General features: G+C 38.0%; 2 annotated features.

Moving 5' to 3' along the window:
• Positions 134–303: an enhancer, noted in NCBI's record as "experimental_15172 CRE fragment used in MPRA reporter constructs". NCBI's record gives its function as "activates a minimal promoter by MPRAs in K562 erythroleukemia cells, with activity observed for both the introgressed and non-introgressed 10:67654867 variant alleles {active_cell/tissue: K562}" and the evidence as "EXISTENCE:reporter gene assay evidence [ECO:0000049][PMID:34662402]".
• Positions 7,348–7,517: an enhancer, noted in NCBI's record as "experimental_15180 CRE fragment used in MPRA reporter constructs". NCBI's record gives its function as "activates a minimal promoter by MPRAs in K562 erythroleukemia cells, with activity observed for both the introgressed and non-introgressed 10:67662081 variant alleles {active_cell/tissue: K562}" and the evidence as "EXISTENCE:reporter gene assay evidence [ECO:0000049][PMID:34662402]".

Here is a 16,241-nt window from a genome sequence, read left to right on the forward strand (position 1 = left end):
CTTTCTTACTCAGGTACATTTAAAAACTGTGGTCTCTAACCAGAATTCTTCACATATGGGTGAAAGTGTGTCTCTGCTTATTCTGTTATCCATGTCGACAGCGGAGAATTTTCATTGTAGGTCTCCAAGCAAGAATTTCAAAGTGGATCCCTTGACCTTACTTAATTATAAAATAAGTACATCTCTTCTTTTAAGTGCCTTCTTGACAAGCAGGGATTGTGCAGGAGGAAACCACACCCCTGAGAGCCACTGCTGCGTCTCTGGGAAGTCTCCACTTGTGTGAAGAACGTTATTACTCTGCCCTCCAAGATAATTCTCTCCAGAATGAATAAACTCAATTCCTTTCATCTTTCCTCTTGGGCTTTCTTTTCCATGCCTTTGTCATTTTCTCTTTTATGCCGCGTTCAGAAATAAAAGGAGCGTAATAGCAATCTCTACCTGAACAAGGCTAAATGTTACAAATGTACAATTAATACTATCCATGTCTCCATGCTAGGAGAAAAAAATAATTTAAAAATTTGATTTTTTTCCTTTCACAATATTCAAACTCAGACTATTTTATGTAAATTTTTATTTATATAATTTTTTGCCATAACTAAAAAAATAGCACTTGTGATGTTATTAATCTCTTGCAATGGATACTGCTGAAGGCAGAGCAAGACTGTTTAACTTCTGTCCCTGTTGACCTCCTGTGTGTAATCTAATGGCTTATTTACTGAGCAAAAACAGATCAGCTAGTCCTTATTAAAGCCTGTTAGAGCAACAAAAGTATAATACTATTTTTTAATCTGATAACAACAGAAGTGAGGAGAAGAAATCAAAATTTATTAGCCTGTTAATGTGTTAGCACTCCTTAATGTAGACAAAGTAAACTCTTCCAGCAAACTGAAGTTCAATGTTAACTTGACTCCCTATTTATATGTCTCCTTGGTACCTATAAAGACCTTGAGAAACTTGAAGGGATGGCTTGTGTTATTAAACAGAATAACGTCTAACACTGTAAATCTTGGTTCCAACCCTACATAGCCAAGACATGACGTGAGGATAAACTTAAATTTGTTTGCTCGTTCATTGTTCTACCCATATAGACCTGCTGCTCTGGCACAGCTGTGACTTTATTCCATGTTAATATTTTTACCTACATTCAAATGTCTTAAATCACTTAAAAGTTGTGTAGATACAGCTATAAGTACCTAGAAAAAGGCCCAAAGGACATACACAAACTTTTAACAATGGCCTCCTCTAAAATGGCCAGATCAATGATTTGCAGGGTTTTAGCTGTTCTATAGCCAGGCCTTCCCTCAGGTGAGATCCCTCTTGGTAGCACCCATGTGTAGTATCTTCTCCACAGGGAGAAGATTAAGTACAATTTCCTTGTATGGAGAGAGGCACAGAGAAATTAGAAAGAAACAGAATAGAGAATAAAGACAGTAATATTCTTTGAGTTATCTTGCAAGGCTAGCCTCCATAGGAGAAAATTTCTTTAGTGAAGCCTCATGGGAAAGCTCATTTAGGCAGATGTTTCTATGCTTCTGCTATGTTTGATTTGAATACTGCTTTAGATTATAAGCAGTTTGAAATCAGAAGATCTCAAACCACAGGTTAAAAATATTTGGAGAAATTGAAAAATTATTATAATAAATTACAAAGACTCCATTACAAAAAAAAAACCATTTCTTGGGTTGGATGGGCTCTGTTCCCTGGTTTTGTTAAAATCACACCATGTACACATAATTTACAGATAAAACTGTTATTAATTTACAGAATGACCGTGACTATGTCAGTTTCTTCTTGGTTCACAGCCTGCTTTATTACCATTAACTCAAAGGTGTCTTGTGACAAGAATGAAGAATGAATTGAGAGTGAATCAAGAATAAAGAAGTAGGATGCTTTATCTAGTTCCTTTGCACCTATTCTGTGAATATGTCATGTGCTTTAATCCTCTCTGCAATTGCATATGCTGATCCTTGTTACAGAACTCATATTCTAATTCCACTCATACTATAAGCCATAATTATATATAAAATAATTTATATAATATTAAATATAAATACATTATATATGTATTATAAAATTTTTCCCTCTAAATACTTATCTTTAGCTCTCAGTTTTTATATTCTTAGGAGTAGGAACCAGATATTACCTAGGCTTGCGTCTTCCGTAGAAGTAACAGGTGCCTGGTATTCATCAGGTGTTCAATTTGTGTTTGTTTTTATTAATGTCTTTATGTTATTACATAGTCCTGTCTATTCTCAATGGCCACTTTTTAAAGTAAATCACCAGAATTTAACACAGTTGATCATTTCTCCCTGTTTGGAATATTTACTTCATTTGACTTTCAGGATACAAACATTTCTTGTTTCCTGTTTTTCTCACTGGCCATTGTTTTTATTATCATCTAGTTTCTGCTCATTTCCTCAGCTTCCAAAAAACGGAGGACTGAAAATGTAATGTTTTCTATCTACATTCACTTCTTTGGGAATCCAATTCCATCTTATGGTATTAAATTCCTTCTATACCCTGATTAATATAGAAATTGTGTTTCTAGCTCAAACTTTATATCAAATTCAGATATTTATCATCTGAACTCTTTATCTTCATCTTGAAACATTCTTCTCCTATTTTCTTTTTGAGATCAATCACTGGCAGTTCTACTTTTCCAGTGTTCATGTTGGAAACCTTGTGATGAGCCCAGCCTTCTCATGTTATTCACAGTGTGCTAGTGACCCATCATCAAACCCCATCAGCTCACCTCTTTTCTCATCTGATTTAAAGACCATAATGTTTAATATAGATTATTGAAATAATGCCCTAACTTGTCTTTGTGTCTCTGTCCTTGTCCCCATTCAGTCTATTCTCAGCACAGTAGTCGGAGTGATCCTTTTAAAACATAAGCCAGATTAGATCACTCTTCATCTCAACACCCTTTAATGAACTCTCTTAATCCAGAAAAAAAGCCAAAGGTCTACAAGAACCTGCAGAGTCTGACCTCAGACCTCATCTCCTACCATTTTTCTCACTCACTTCCCCTCCAATCTTACTGGCTTCTTTTCCAGACAAGCTCCCATCTCAGGGTCTTGGCATTGTATTTTTCCATTTTCCTGGGATATTCTTTTCCTAGATGCACATAAGCTCTTTCCCTTTCCTTTTTTTCCCCATCCTAGACATCATCACCGAAAATATTTATCATTTTCTATCTCTCCCTGATACCACACAAAGATAGAAGGTTTTGTTGGCATTGTCTTATTTATTACAAATAAATATTGATATTTATTATCCTTAGCACCTAGCATATCATGTGACAAATGGAAGGCACTCAAATAAACATTTCTTGAGTAAAAGAATAAGTGAGTAAATAAATTAAACCACATAATTTCTCACTTCCTCTTTTCTAATGTTTCTAATGTCAGTCATTAAGATATAATCTACACTGTCCTCCAAATATGCTCAAACAACCACTTTGAAAGATAAGGAATGAATGCATTGGCCTCTTTGTAATTTAAAGTATTCTTTTTCAAAATCTTAGAGCAGGTAAATGCATAGATGATAGTTGAAATATATCATGGATTATGTGGCTATATGCATTGATGTAAATCTATATTTTCACACATGTGAAATTGTCCACGATATTATTTATTAGGGGAAAAACAGTAATTATAAAGGATTATATACAGCCAGTTTCCTTTGAAGAATGGAGTGTGAAGGAGGTAGGAAATAAAATATTTGAAAAATATAAACTAACACGTTATCAGAAGTTATCTCTGGAGAGTCATTTTCTTACTCCTTCCACCCCCATGCTTTATACATTTTGGAATGAAGCCATGTTAATCAGAAAAAAATGGAAAAATTAAAGCTTAATACTGAAAAGATCATGACATCCTCTGTCTGAGCTATTGTCATCCTTAATTAAAGCAATATTCAAAGGGATAATTAGTTGAACAAGGCTTTATTTTTAAAATAAACCAGAATAGACTCTGTTTTTACTGTTCTTCCTTTAGAATTCATGTTGGAATCTCACCTTACCCCACCTACACATTTTCTTCTGCTTTTTTGCTTTCAGTGGAAAAGGTCAGAAATTGGTACAGAGTTATTTAGAGATATGAGAGTTAAGAAATTTACTCTTTCTCTTTATCTAATTCATTGCTATAGAGATGGTTATGTTTCTCTTTAGTTTCATAATTTCCCCAATTCAAAGAAAAAAAACTCTAAAGAAAGAAAAAAAAACTCTAAAAAACAGAAAAAACTGCTAACAGCTTTCTGAAAGACATGTTTTTTTAAACCTCAATACTTGTCAAAGCAGAGCCTGATTGTGCTAGAGAAATAATTCATCTCTGAATAATTTTGAGAAACACTTTTGCTTTAATAGTCATAAAGAATACAACTACTGTCTGTTTCACTCAAAGAAAGATTTGTTTATAATTTGGTTTTCATTATAAAACGATGTGAAATTGAAGTTTTCACTGTTTATATTTAATTGTCGTTAGCACAAATCTCAATTAACTAATAAATACTTCTGGGTAGCATATTTTTTCCCTTTTCAGCATTTCTCTATAAAATTTACTTTCATTGCCTCTCCGTACTTTTCCATCACAATTTAAACATGTTATTTTAACATCAATAAGAAATTATTTTTTAAGTGATTTTACTTGCCTGGCCACATTTTGTCTTTCTTGAAGAGCAGAGGAATTTGCTTCACTTTGCCGTTCCTCACTTGTATCTGTTTGGACTGGTTAGCTAGGTAATAAAGAAGACCAGATATCACAGGCTTAAGATCAAGAATTATAATATATTTTGAACATATATTAATATATTAATTTATACATATAATATATACTTATAAATGTATATAATATATATTTATATATGTATATTACACACAAACACACACACATACATCTCCCTCTCTCAGCTACAACTCTGACAAGTTGCCTTCCCTCTAATACCTAATCTGGTGATCATTCTTTGTCTGGTTAAACTTGTGATAGAGGAAGCATGGTAAACCACTGGCTGGTTTTTAAAATTTCTGCCTGGAAATGACACACATCATAGGGGCTTACATTCCATCCAGATTTAACAAGATGGGATGTATAATACCATCACAGAAAGGCACAACAAATTTTAATTGTCTTACAATCCACCCTGTCTTTTTTTTTAACCTACCTTGCCACTTTATCCCCAGAGTTTATCATGTGGATAGATAGATAGGTATCAGAATGTTTTTTCGAAGATAAAATTTTTAATGTAAACAGCATAGTATATCTGAGCACTAAAATAGATGAACAAAATAAAAGAGAAGTTAAGGTTTACAAAAAGTAAGTCAGAGAGGAAGTAAATTGGAGAGGAGGTGAGTTTGGAGTAGGATTTTTAAGGAAAAATCAACAGGTCATGATATAAAGGGTCACGTGCAAATTCAAGGAAAACCAAAGCACGAGAAGGAGGCCAAGAGTGCTGAGTTTCAGGACACGTGACTCTTTGGGTCATGATAATTAGATCATGGAGATGGTTGATAAAGGAAATGGGACTTGTGAGGACTCAAAGATGAGTAGCAGATTTCATATGCAAAGAAAATGGAACCACACTATTTTGCCTAATGCATTGACATAAATTTAGAATAACACTGTGATGTAGGCGTCTAGCGTTGGGTGAATCGGGGCAGTGGAGTCGAGGTGTTCATTAAGCACTCTCATGACCTCTGACAGCTGTGTATGTGTGTGCATGGATATGCTTCTGTGTGTGTGGTGTCTATTTATTTGGGATTTTGTGGTAGATAACTGCCACCAAGTGACAGACATGACTATAAAAATACTGGATCTGTCCAGGTTAAAAGTTTCAAGAAACAGGAACTAACTCTGGATAAGTTAAACCTCAAATGAATTTTTAGAAATAATTTGGGCAGCTCAAATCAGCGGGAGGGATGGAAAACAGGTTTGAGGGAAAGCAGCTAGTAGAAGAAACCAACACTACATCTCAAACATGATTTGATGTGGAAAATTCTTCTTCCCTTACAACCTCCACTAGAAAACAGCCACCTAAGCCCATGGTTTTTGGCTGCATTTAGCTCCTGAAACAAAGATCAACATGTATGCATCTGAGAGCTGAGCCTATGCCTATTTATAGGAGTCCAGACAGATATGGCTAAAGAAAAAATGAAATAGGATTTTGGAGTTTTTGCATCAGGGGCATGGAGAATACACACAGATGGTGGCAAGAAAATCATGACCTTTGGAGCTGGAAAGAAAATTTAAAATCTTGTCTTGACATGTACTAGTTGTGTGGCCTTAGTCAAGTTAGTTCAGGAACCTCAGTAAATTGGAGATAATACTACTATGAAGATCTAATAAAATAGTTCACGTCAAGGGCCTATCATGCTCGTAGCATATGGCTGGTTCAACGAACATTACCTAGCTCCTGATTCTCAAAAAACACTTTGTGTTGAGAGCAATGAGGAATATCAGTAAAAAAATTCTCATGTTCCTGCATCTAATGCCCTGAATTCCTCAGAAGATGATGATTGGAAAATAACACTTTAAGAACATAAACAAAACTTGGAGGTAAGTTTTGCTTTTGATAAGGAATAGAATATTTTCTGGAACCTGGCTAGATTATATTGTACCCTGTTCTGGTTCAAGGTGCTGAAGACAGACTAATCCTTGAACAAACCTTAGTTTGTTCAAGCAGGTCCTTCAGGTTATACCCCTGGACTTCCTCTGCTTCACCACCATTTCTTTCCAAGTAGATCTGGATATTAGTCAGTTTTAACTTAATCCATCCTTTGAATCATTTCTGAAATGAAAAGAAAAGAAAAGGTAATTCAAGTTCAAAAGCATTAGGAGTATAAAAGGTCTATATCAAGGGCCCAAATTCAAACATCTTGATAAATATGAGTATCACCCCTGGGTAAGACAAGAGAAAGAGCAAGGTCTGAAGACTGTTTGATCTCCCTAAAGGTATTACCAGATAAAATGTTTAAAAACCTTCAGCCAAAGTAAAATATAAATGAAGGCAGATAACCCCTGGCTTGTATTAGGCATTTCTTACCTTCTGTTCATCCTCTTGCCTCTGGCTCCAGGCAAAAGTCTCGTGGCTTGAACTTAAGCAGATCTATATTTCCTCTATCATTTAAATGAGGTTACACAGGATATCATTTGAAAACTAGGTTTTATACCTAAAAAGGAGATCTTGATTGTGATACTCATGTGTAGACTTTCAGGATCCTCTCACCAGACAGTTATACATGAAGACCACACTTTACTATTTCCTAAGCACTTTCACATATACTCTTTCATACGATCCTTTCAAAAACCTAATGAGGAGAGATACCACTTTAGTATCTGTGATCAAGAATGTGGGGGTACTTATCATTTTGATTCAACAGAATAAAGTTGTACAATTTTTTTGGAATCTGAAAGGAAAGACTAATATTTTCTCCACAGTCAGAGATTTTTCTTAAGTCTCTAAATGGGCCCGTTCTTCCTGGAAAAGAAGGTATTTGAGGTTGAGAAAATAAAATCTGAAGTCAAAGTGTTTTGGAGACACAAGCCTTGACCAAGGCCTTAGCGATCATCACATTCCTGGTTAGTAAAATTCATTGGAATTCTTGGCTCACTATACTGTAATCCATAACTTAGGTGTATTCTAGTAAATAGAGGTGCTGCCATATGGCTCTTCTGCTTTCCACTCTTCTTACCAGATCCCCCAGCATGGAAAGAATTCTAAGAATTATATATAATTGGAAAGAATCATGGGAACCTGATATTAAAAGAGATAATGATAAATCATGAATCTGTGTTTTCTTGTTATGTCTTAATGTACCAGAAAGAATCATGTCTCTAGAATTGGCCATTTCATTCTCAATTGTACCAATTATTTAAAAGTGTCATTTATATACAAACCCTGAAGCTACATCAGTGCAGCTGGAACTTAATTTAATCCATTTACTCATTTGTTTAATTAACATTCAGTGAACACTTAAGATGTCTGCCCTTACTGCAGGTGTTCCGAAGTAATCAAATTGGGACTCTCCAACGAATCCCAGAAAATCTGGACAACACAAGCAACAAAGCATTTGATAATGCGTCATCAAATATGTCATGGCCACATGCAGTAATTTAATATTCGACACGAACTACTGTTCACAAAAAGTAGAGAAAACAATTTTTGCTCTTAAGAATCACACCCATTGGGAAAATGCATGCATTGGTTTATGTAGGATTACTTCAGCAATTGAGGGATTATGCACACACATACACACAACACACACACATTAGAATATTGCTATTTATGACATTACCAGTTATCACTGATACAGGAGCAGGACAGGAAGTGCTGGGTAGAGAAAAGTGGGGTCCCTGGTGACGGCTCCATGCTTGGGCCTGTGCCCATGGACCTAGGTGAGGAAAGGTACTCGTGTTTTTGTGCCCAAATGTTACATTTTCCAAGACCACTCTGGCCCATCACACCCTCCATCCTGGCCTATAAAAACCCCTAGACCCTAACAGGCACAGACCCAAGTGGCTGGATGTCAAGAGGAACACACCCACAGAAGAACACACAGGCAGACAGACACCAGCAGACTCTGGCAGGCCATCCACGGATGTGGAGTTTGGCCAAGGGCAGTGGGAGCCCGGTCTGAGTGACCTGACTCCAGGGGAAGAACAACTCCATCCACTTTCTGGTTCCCATCACCCTTCTGGTTCCCATCCACCTGCTGAGAGCTACCTCCACCATTCAATCAAACCTTTTTACTCATTCTCCAAGCCATGTGATCCAATTTTTCTGGTACACTAAGGCAGGAACCTGGGATACAGAAAGCACTCTGTTCCTGCAATAAGGCAGAGGATCTAATTAAGCTGATTAACACAAGCCACCTGCAGACAGCAAAACTGAAAGAGCACATTGTAACGCACACCCACCAGGGCTTTCGGAGCTGAAAACACTCAACCCTAGACACTGCTGTGGGGTCAGCGCTCCCCACAACCTGCCCGTCTGCATGTTCTCCTTAGGGTTATGAAAATCAGGGCACCAAAGAAGCAAGCCACACACCCATTGCACACCCTGAGAGGGGGATAAGGGAACTTTTTCCATTTTAACATCATATGGAGTAAATTTGTTATCTCCCTCTGCCCCAATTTTCTCACCATCTGGTATGGCCAAGATGAGCTACTTTTTTCGGTAAGAAATAGGATAACGTATGCAAAACATCTAGCACAATGCTGGCATGAAATAACTATTCAGTAATGCTTGATGTCATCATGGTCTTGGTGGTGGTGATGATGATAATTGTCTCACGCATCCGTGTGAGGAGACCACCAAGCAGGCTTTGTGTCAGCAAGAAGTCTGTTTACTTCACCTGGGTGCAGGTGGGCTGAGTCCGAAAAAGGAGTCAGCAAAGGGTGGTGGATTATCATTAGTTCTTATAGGTTTTGGGATAGGTGGTGGAGTTAGGAGCAATGTTTTGATGTTTTGCGGGCAGGGGGTGGATCTCATGAAGTACATTCTCAAGGGTGGGGAGAATTACAAAGAACCTTCTTAAGGGTGGGGGAGATTACAAAGTACATTGATCAGTTAGGGTGGGGCAGAAACAAATCACAATGGTGGAATGTCATATTTTCACTTCTTTTGTGGATCTTCAGTTGCTTCAGGCCATCTGGATGTATATGTGCACGTCACAGGGGATATGATGGCTTAGCTTGAGCTCAGAGGACTGACAATCATGATCATGATATTCCTATGATTGCATTTATTTTATATAGTGGTGGAGAAAAAGGAGGAATGAGATATCAACTACTCAATAACACCAAAATAATTTTATCTACCAAGTTTTCATCAAAGATAACCTACAACTTGGAATCTAGTTTAGAGGTGTTTTGATTACATGGTAGTAGGTTAGTGAAAAGGAGTGTTGGTCTTGATAGCTTTGGAAGCCCTGGCAAGGGTCATAGCATTGCTTTTCTAGCCAAGCAATAAGAGATCTTCACAAAATGGACAAGGAAGAAATAGGTATATGGCACACATGCATATACACACACATCATATTATATGTATTGTATAATATATATTTAGCAATTATGTTAATTGCTTTTCATTGTGCACTTACTATGGACCAGGAACTGCACTAAATATGTTGTATGCATATTTGCAATTAATCCTTACAATAATCCTATGGGGTTAACTCTATGGGGCAGTTATTATCTCCACTTTACAGATAGAAAAATAGAGCTCAGAGATATTAAATTAATTTCCTGTCTTAGCTGGTAATTTGAGAAGGTAGTATTTTAAGGCAATTAGTCTGGCTCAGAGACAAACTCATAATAATTAATGCTATCTTGTGCTTTTTAAAAGTGTTTACTGTGTTTCAAGTCTGTGTTTAAAACCTGACTCTTCTGCTGCTTCTCTTCCGTTTCTTGAGCAATTATTTAAACTCTGAGCCTCAGTTTTCTCAGCTAGAAATGGGTATGCTGATAATATCTACTTTAAAAAATAAGGATTCTATGAAGTCACATTCATAAAAGCAGCTAATGTCGTGGTTTGCAGTTAACATACGTGACAATACATAATACATATCTCTAAATTGAGATATACTAGTTGAACAAATTTCTTTCCTTGATGCAGGTAATTTGAAAAGGAATCTGTGCTGGCAGAACAAAACAAAGCAGCCTACAGCTGCAAAACAAATGAAGACCTCCTTATCATATCCCTAGTGCCTCAGGTTGAGCCATAAAAATGGGAAAAGTTAATAACATCATGTAGAGATTTCTGTATGGGAGGAATTATTTTAAGTGATTTGATTTTATTTTATTTATTTTTATTTTTATCTTTTTTTTTTTTTTTTTTTTTTTGAAACGGAGTTTCACTCTGTTGCCAGGCTGGAATGCAGTGGCTCTATCTCAGCTCACTGCAACCTCCACCTCCAGGGTTCAAGCAATTCTCCTGCCTCAGCCTCCCAAGTAGCTGGGACTATAGGTGTGTGCCATCATGCCCAGCTAATTTTTTTTTTTTTTTTTTTTTTGTATTTTTGGTAGAGACGAGGTTTCATCATGTTGGCCAGGATGTTTTCGATCTCTTGACTTCATGATCTGCCCACCTCACCCTCCCAAAGTGCTGGGGTTACACGCGTGAGCCACTGTGCCCCGCCTTTTATCTTTTTTTAAGATGGAGTCTTGCTCTGTCACTCAGGCTGGAGTGCAGTTGCACGATCTCGGCTCACTGCACCCTCCGCCTCCCGGGCTCAAGCGATTCTCCTGCCTCAGCCTCCCTAGTAGCTGGGATTACAGTCACCCACCACCTCGCCTGGCTAATTTTATACTTTTATTAGAGACAGGGTTTCACCATGTTGGCCAGATGGTCTTGAACTCCTGACCTCAGGTGATCTGCCTGCCTCGGCCTCCCAAGGTGCTGGTATTACAGGCGTGAGCCACTGCGCCTGGCCCTTTTAAGTGCTTTTAAATACAGTAATTTGTTTAATTATCTTATACATATTAGAGGTACATAACCACTTTATAGGTTAGGGAACACAGGCACAGAGACATGAACTAATTCAAACTTGGGTTGTCACAGTCAGAGTCCTCACTTCTAACCATTATGCAGTCCTCCCCTGAGAGTCTCTGTGGGAAAAGCACCTGATGTTCAACTTCGGATCAGAAGATCTTACATCCCATCTTCTTGCCTACTCCAATAAAGGCCAGTCCTGGATCAACCCTCTAACAAATATCTATGAGCTACTTGATATATTCGCTTTCATAATCAATGAAGAAAAAAGATATGATTATAAATTTCCTGTATCTTCTCTTTTTACTTATTCTTCTCCCTTTTCTATTTTTCCCTAAAACACTTTGTAATAAAGAACAAAGGAGTCATTTCCTCTTAGACCTTCCCCTATAAATTCTTTCTAAGGATGAGCATCTCTACTATTTGAATTCCTTTTGTAGAGCGTCATTTTCACAAGGGCACCTCTGGTATGTCTGGAAACGTAGAGAACTCTTATGCAGGGATGAACAGGGGAGCTGGTATAGATATATCCGAGCATTGAGAAGGAGATATGACCCACAGCAGAGGCCCTGAGGAATATGAAGCTAGAAATTATGCCTATTTGGGTTGAAATATTTTTGTCATATTCCACAAAACAAACGCCAGAAATAGAAACCCATGTATTTTTCCATTTGTAAAAATACAACTCAGAGTTATTTTTTCCTCCCAGGAGATGAATGTGTTAGGTTAGCATGAGGAAGGAGAGGCCTGGGGTGGAAGAAGGGTTCTGAGCAGTCACTGAGCCTCCTTGTAGAGGGAGACACAGTGTTGGGGACCTGCCTCTGATCTTGCTCATGGTTTGTGGAATCACAAAGCCCACGATTTGTCTTATTCCTTCACTGTCTTCCCTGTTTTGGCCAGCCACCCCATGGCTGCTCCTCGGATGCCCTCTCCTGCGAGCTGACTTTCACACTCTCCACCAGCCTGTTTTCAGAACCTGGTGTGTGTGGAGCTGCTTTTCCCACAGGGGTTTCGCACAGGCTGCTCATTCTGCTTACAATGCTCGGTCATCACATGTCACCAGCAAGCTCCTGCCGATTCTTCGGATGTCCGCTTGGAACTCACTTGCTCAGACCAGCCTTTCCAGATTTCCCTGACTCAGCCAAATCCCCTCAACTTAGGTTCATTGCACCAGTGTGGCTCTCCTTTGTGGCAATTTTTAAAGATAAAAATGTGTACTCTTGGATGCATTATTTAATTAACTGCTATGTCCTCTGCTAGTCTCTAAAGTCCTTCTAGAGGAAAGATTGTTTTTACTGACTGCTGCAGCCCTAGTACCTAGAAGAATATCCAACCCATGTGTATTCAACAAATATTTGTTGACAGAATTAATATAAATTGGCTACTCGCTATGATTCCTTGGCGTGCTTTTGGTTTTCTGTTCCAGGCATTTCTTTCTCTTTGTTCCCTCTATAAAAGAAAGTTTTAAAAGTGTGATTTGCGTGTTTTAATCTTGAAGCTTCTCAGTTGTATATATAACAATAAAGATGTTTAAATTTTTATGTTGTGTTTATGCTAGGCATCATTCATAGTATGTATATTAATTCATTCAATATTCATGACAATTCTGTGTGGTAGGATCCATTATAAGACATATAAATATTTTGTTACTTGAACTCTGAAATGTAAGCTCTGTTTCACAAATGAGACTATGTAATGAAAGGTAATGAGAGGTTTAGCAACTTGCTTGAGAAAGCTGATGCTAATAACGATGGAGCAAACCAGGTGGGGTCGCGCCAAAGCCCATGCTGTCGGCCATGGTGTCATCTTGCCATCCCACAGTAGTCACACATCTGGCCTGTTTTAGCATTTCTCAAATCAGGTACAGCCATCCCAGTAGATTTCAGGCAAGGCACATCTGGTGTTTATCTTAAACATGGTGCGACCCACTTGACCATCATTATTTGGCAGAAAAATGTGAAATTGCCTTTAAAATAAAATAAGCTGTACTATAGTAAACAAGGATATATCCCATAGTAGATTGCAAAATGTATCTAAAGTTTAAGATAAAATCTAAGACTTCTCATTGCTCTTCAGTTACGGTGTCTCATATTTTCTGAGCTCCTTACTTTGTGGTCAGGCATACATGAAAGGAAAATTTGAAACAGCACTGAGTGTTATGGATATCTCTTGTTTTCACATACATTCTTTTGAATACTTAAAAACTGGGACAAGTAACTTAGAAGGAGAAGTGCTGCTACTATAGCTCTTGTGAGCTGACTGTTCAGATTGTCAGTCGGGCTAGAGTTGATCAGACTAAGAAAATAAGTTAATGTTTAAACTAACAGACATGGGCCTATTTGTCCTTGGTCATTTGAAAGTCTGTAGGGTCCCCCAAGTTGCCCTTACTTTTTTTCTTTGTAATGACGAAGAAACACAGAGTGCCTTGACTGCTTTGTGTCTGGGCCAACTGTATGTATTTTCTTTCATGCTTGAACCCAAGCTGGGACCCTGAACATTTCCAGGCACTGATAAGCTTATTTAATTGTTGCTTGAAACACTAAAAGATCCAACATGTTGCTATACACATTAAAACTAGCCCCAGCCCTAAACCAAATTCCTTAAATCCCCATATGTGCTCCATAACCTAACCTCCTTTTTGCAGACATATCTAGATCTCTTTTCTCACTATTTGTTTCAAGGACTGCTGTAGTACTCTGTATGTAAGTTCCTTTAATAAACTGTTTGGACTGATCACCCTGGTATTTAGCGTTTCTTTCTTTGGAATCCCAATGGGCCTCATCTTGGGATGGTTTGGGAAAGTCTCTTGTGGTAACTCTCCTGCTACCATTTTTAGGATGTCTCCAGCTGTGGGTTCATTCAGATGGAACACAGATGAAACAAAAACTGTTCAGATCTTTGATGCAAAGGCTTCTGTATGAGCAGATGGTGAAAAATAAAAATGATTCCAGTCTGCAGAATAGTTTATATTAGAGACCAAATTCAGGCTTCTTTGTTTCAGATCACAAATCTGCCTCTCACTGGCGGGGTGTGCATGGTCAAATTACTTATACTGGTCTTCATCTCCTTATCTGCACTGTGGGAGGAGGATGAAGTAACCACTAAGCTTCAGTGAAGAGTCAATGTAATAGTGCAGGTACATGTTTGGCACAATTCTGGACACTTAGTAAATGCTTGATAAATATGATTTGCCTTCAACTTTCATCATCTATTAGAGCATATATGATTATGCTTTTAGACAGCTGGTTCTCTTTAATGTGACCAAGTACACTGGAAACAATATCTTTCACAGAATTCGTTGCTGTAGCTGACAATTATTACTGTCAGTTTGTTTGATGCTTTCTGGTTTGAGAATATTTCTTTTTATCACTATCCCTATAATTTCACCCAGGCATTTGTTTAGCTCATACAGAACTAGTGCAACTGATTTTTCCTAGTCCCTTCTCTCACTCTAAATAACTTATCAATCCTACATTTTACTACCTAATTAGTCATCTTATAACTTTGCTTGTATTTGAGAACTTGCTTGCTAGAAGACTTTGATGTTGTACCCAACTACAAATTAAAGCCTTAACACCTCAGCCTGACATTGAATCTTCTGTGATCTACCCCACTTTTGCCTTTCTGAACTCTTATAATATCAGTACCATTCAGTGCCCTCCATGCTGGCCAGTTGACCCTGCATGTGACAAACTCATTCTTATTTCTATGTCTTGACACATACCCTACTCATGGAATGTTATCGTTCTGTAAACTGCTAAGCCATAACCACCCTCCTATTAAAACCTCAACAAATTCCCCCCCTAGAAACTTGCTTTGCTTTCCTCCACCATGGTAAGATTCCCATGAGCAGCATTTTTATTTCCCTAGTGCTGCTAATTACTTTTAATTAACCTGAGGAGCCCACATCTTGATTCCAAAACATTCACGCTTCTTTCTATTATCCATAACCCTTTCACATATAACAGTCCCTCAAGAAATATTTTTGGCTGTTGAATAAACAAATGAGTAAGAAACACCCGGTGGCTTTTCCTTATCAGTAACTTTCATTTACCTAAGGCAGTGGCAGTGTTTAGAAAGAGTGGCAGGAGGAATCAGGAGTTTTCAAATTATTTCCCCGACATTGGTTTTGTTTCTGTAAACGTGGAAATTACCAAAGCTCTCAGAATTTTGGTTTGCATAGTTCAGCAGATGGCCCAGGTTACAGAGCAGTAGTGTTCTGCATTCATTCATTTGAAATAAACTAATTCATGGTTTTGTTCATTCCTTTCAAAACTATCAGTTGGGTTCCTCCCATGTGCCATGCCATTCACTGTGCCAGTTGTTGGAGATACAAAAGTATAAATGATATAACTGTCCCAGGGTTTCAGAATATAATGGAGTTAAGGGGCTCAAACATTTCTCTGGCGTTGGGACCTGGTACAGCATTAGAGTCTTCCAAACCTAGCCTCAGAGTGACTGCGACATAATTGATTAACCTAGTGGGTGGGAGATACTATGAGCAATTATTGGAAAGGAGGAGCTATTCCAGGATCCGGCTGTGGATCCCCAGCATCACCACACAGGCTTCCTCCAAAGCAGAACAAAAGCATAGTTAGTTCTCTTCCCCTACCTTCTCCAAATCAATGCCTGCAGATGGCAGACTCCCAAGGGAAGTGTTCAGGTCTGCATTCAGGAGGATAGCCCACTTTTGGTCCTTTCAGTTTAATCTGAATAGTACTCCACCCACTGCTAGAAAACTGTCTTTTCTGATG

The sequence above is a fragment of the Homo sapiens genome, chromosome 10 (genome assembly GCF_000001405.40).
Source record: "Homo sapiens chromosome 10, GRCh38.p14 Primary Assembly".
Lineage (NCBI taxonomy): Eukaryota > Metazoa > Chordata > Mammalia > Primates > Hominidae > Homo > Homo sapiens.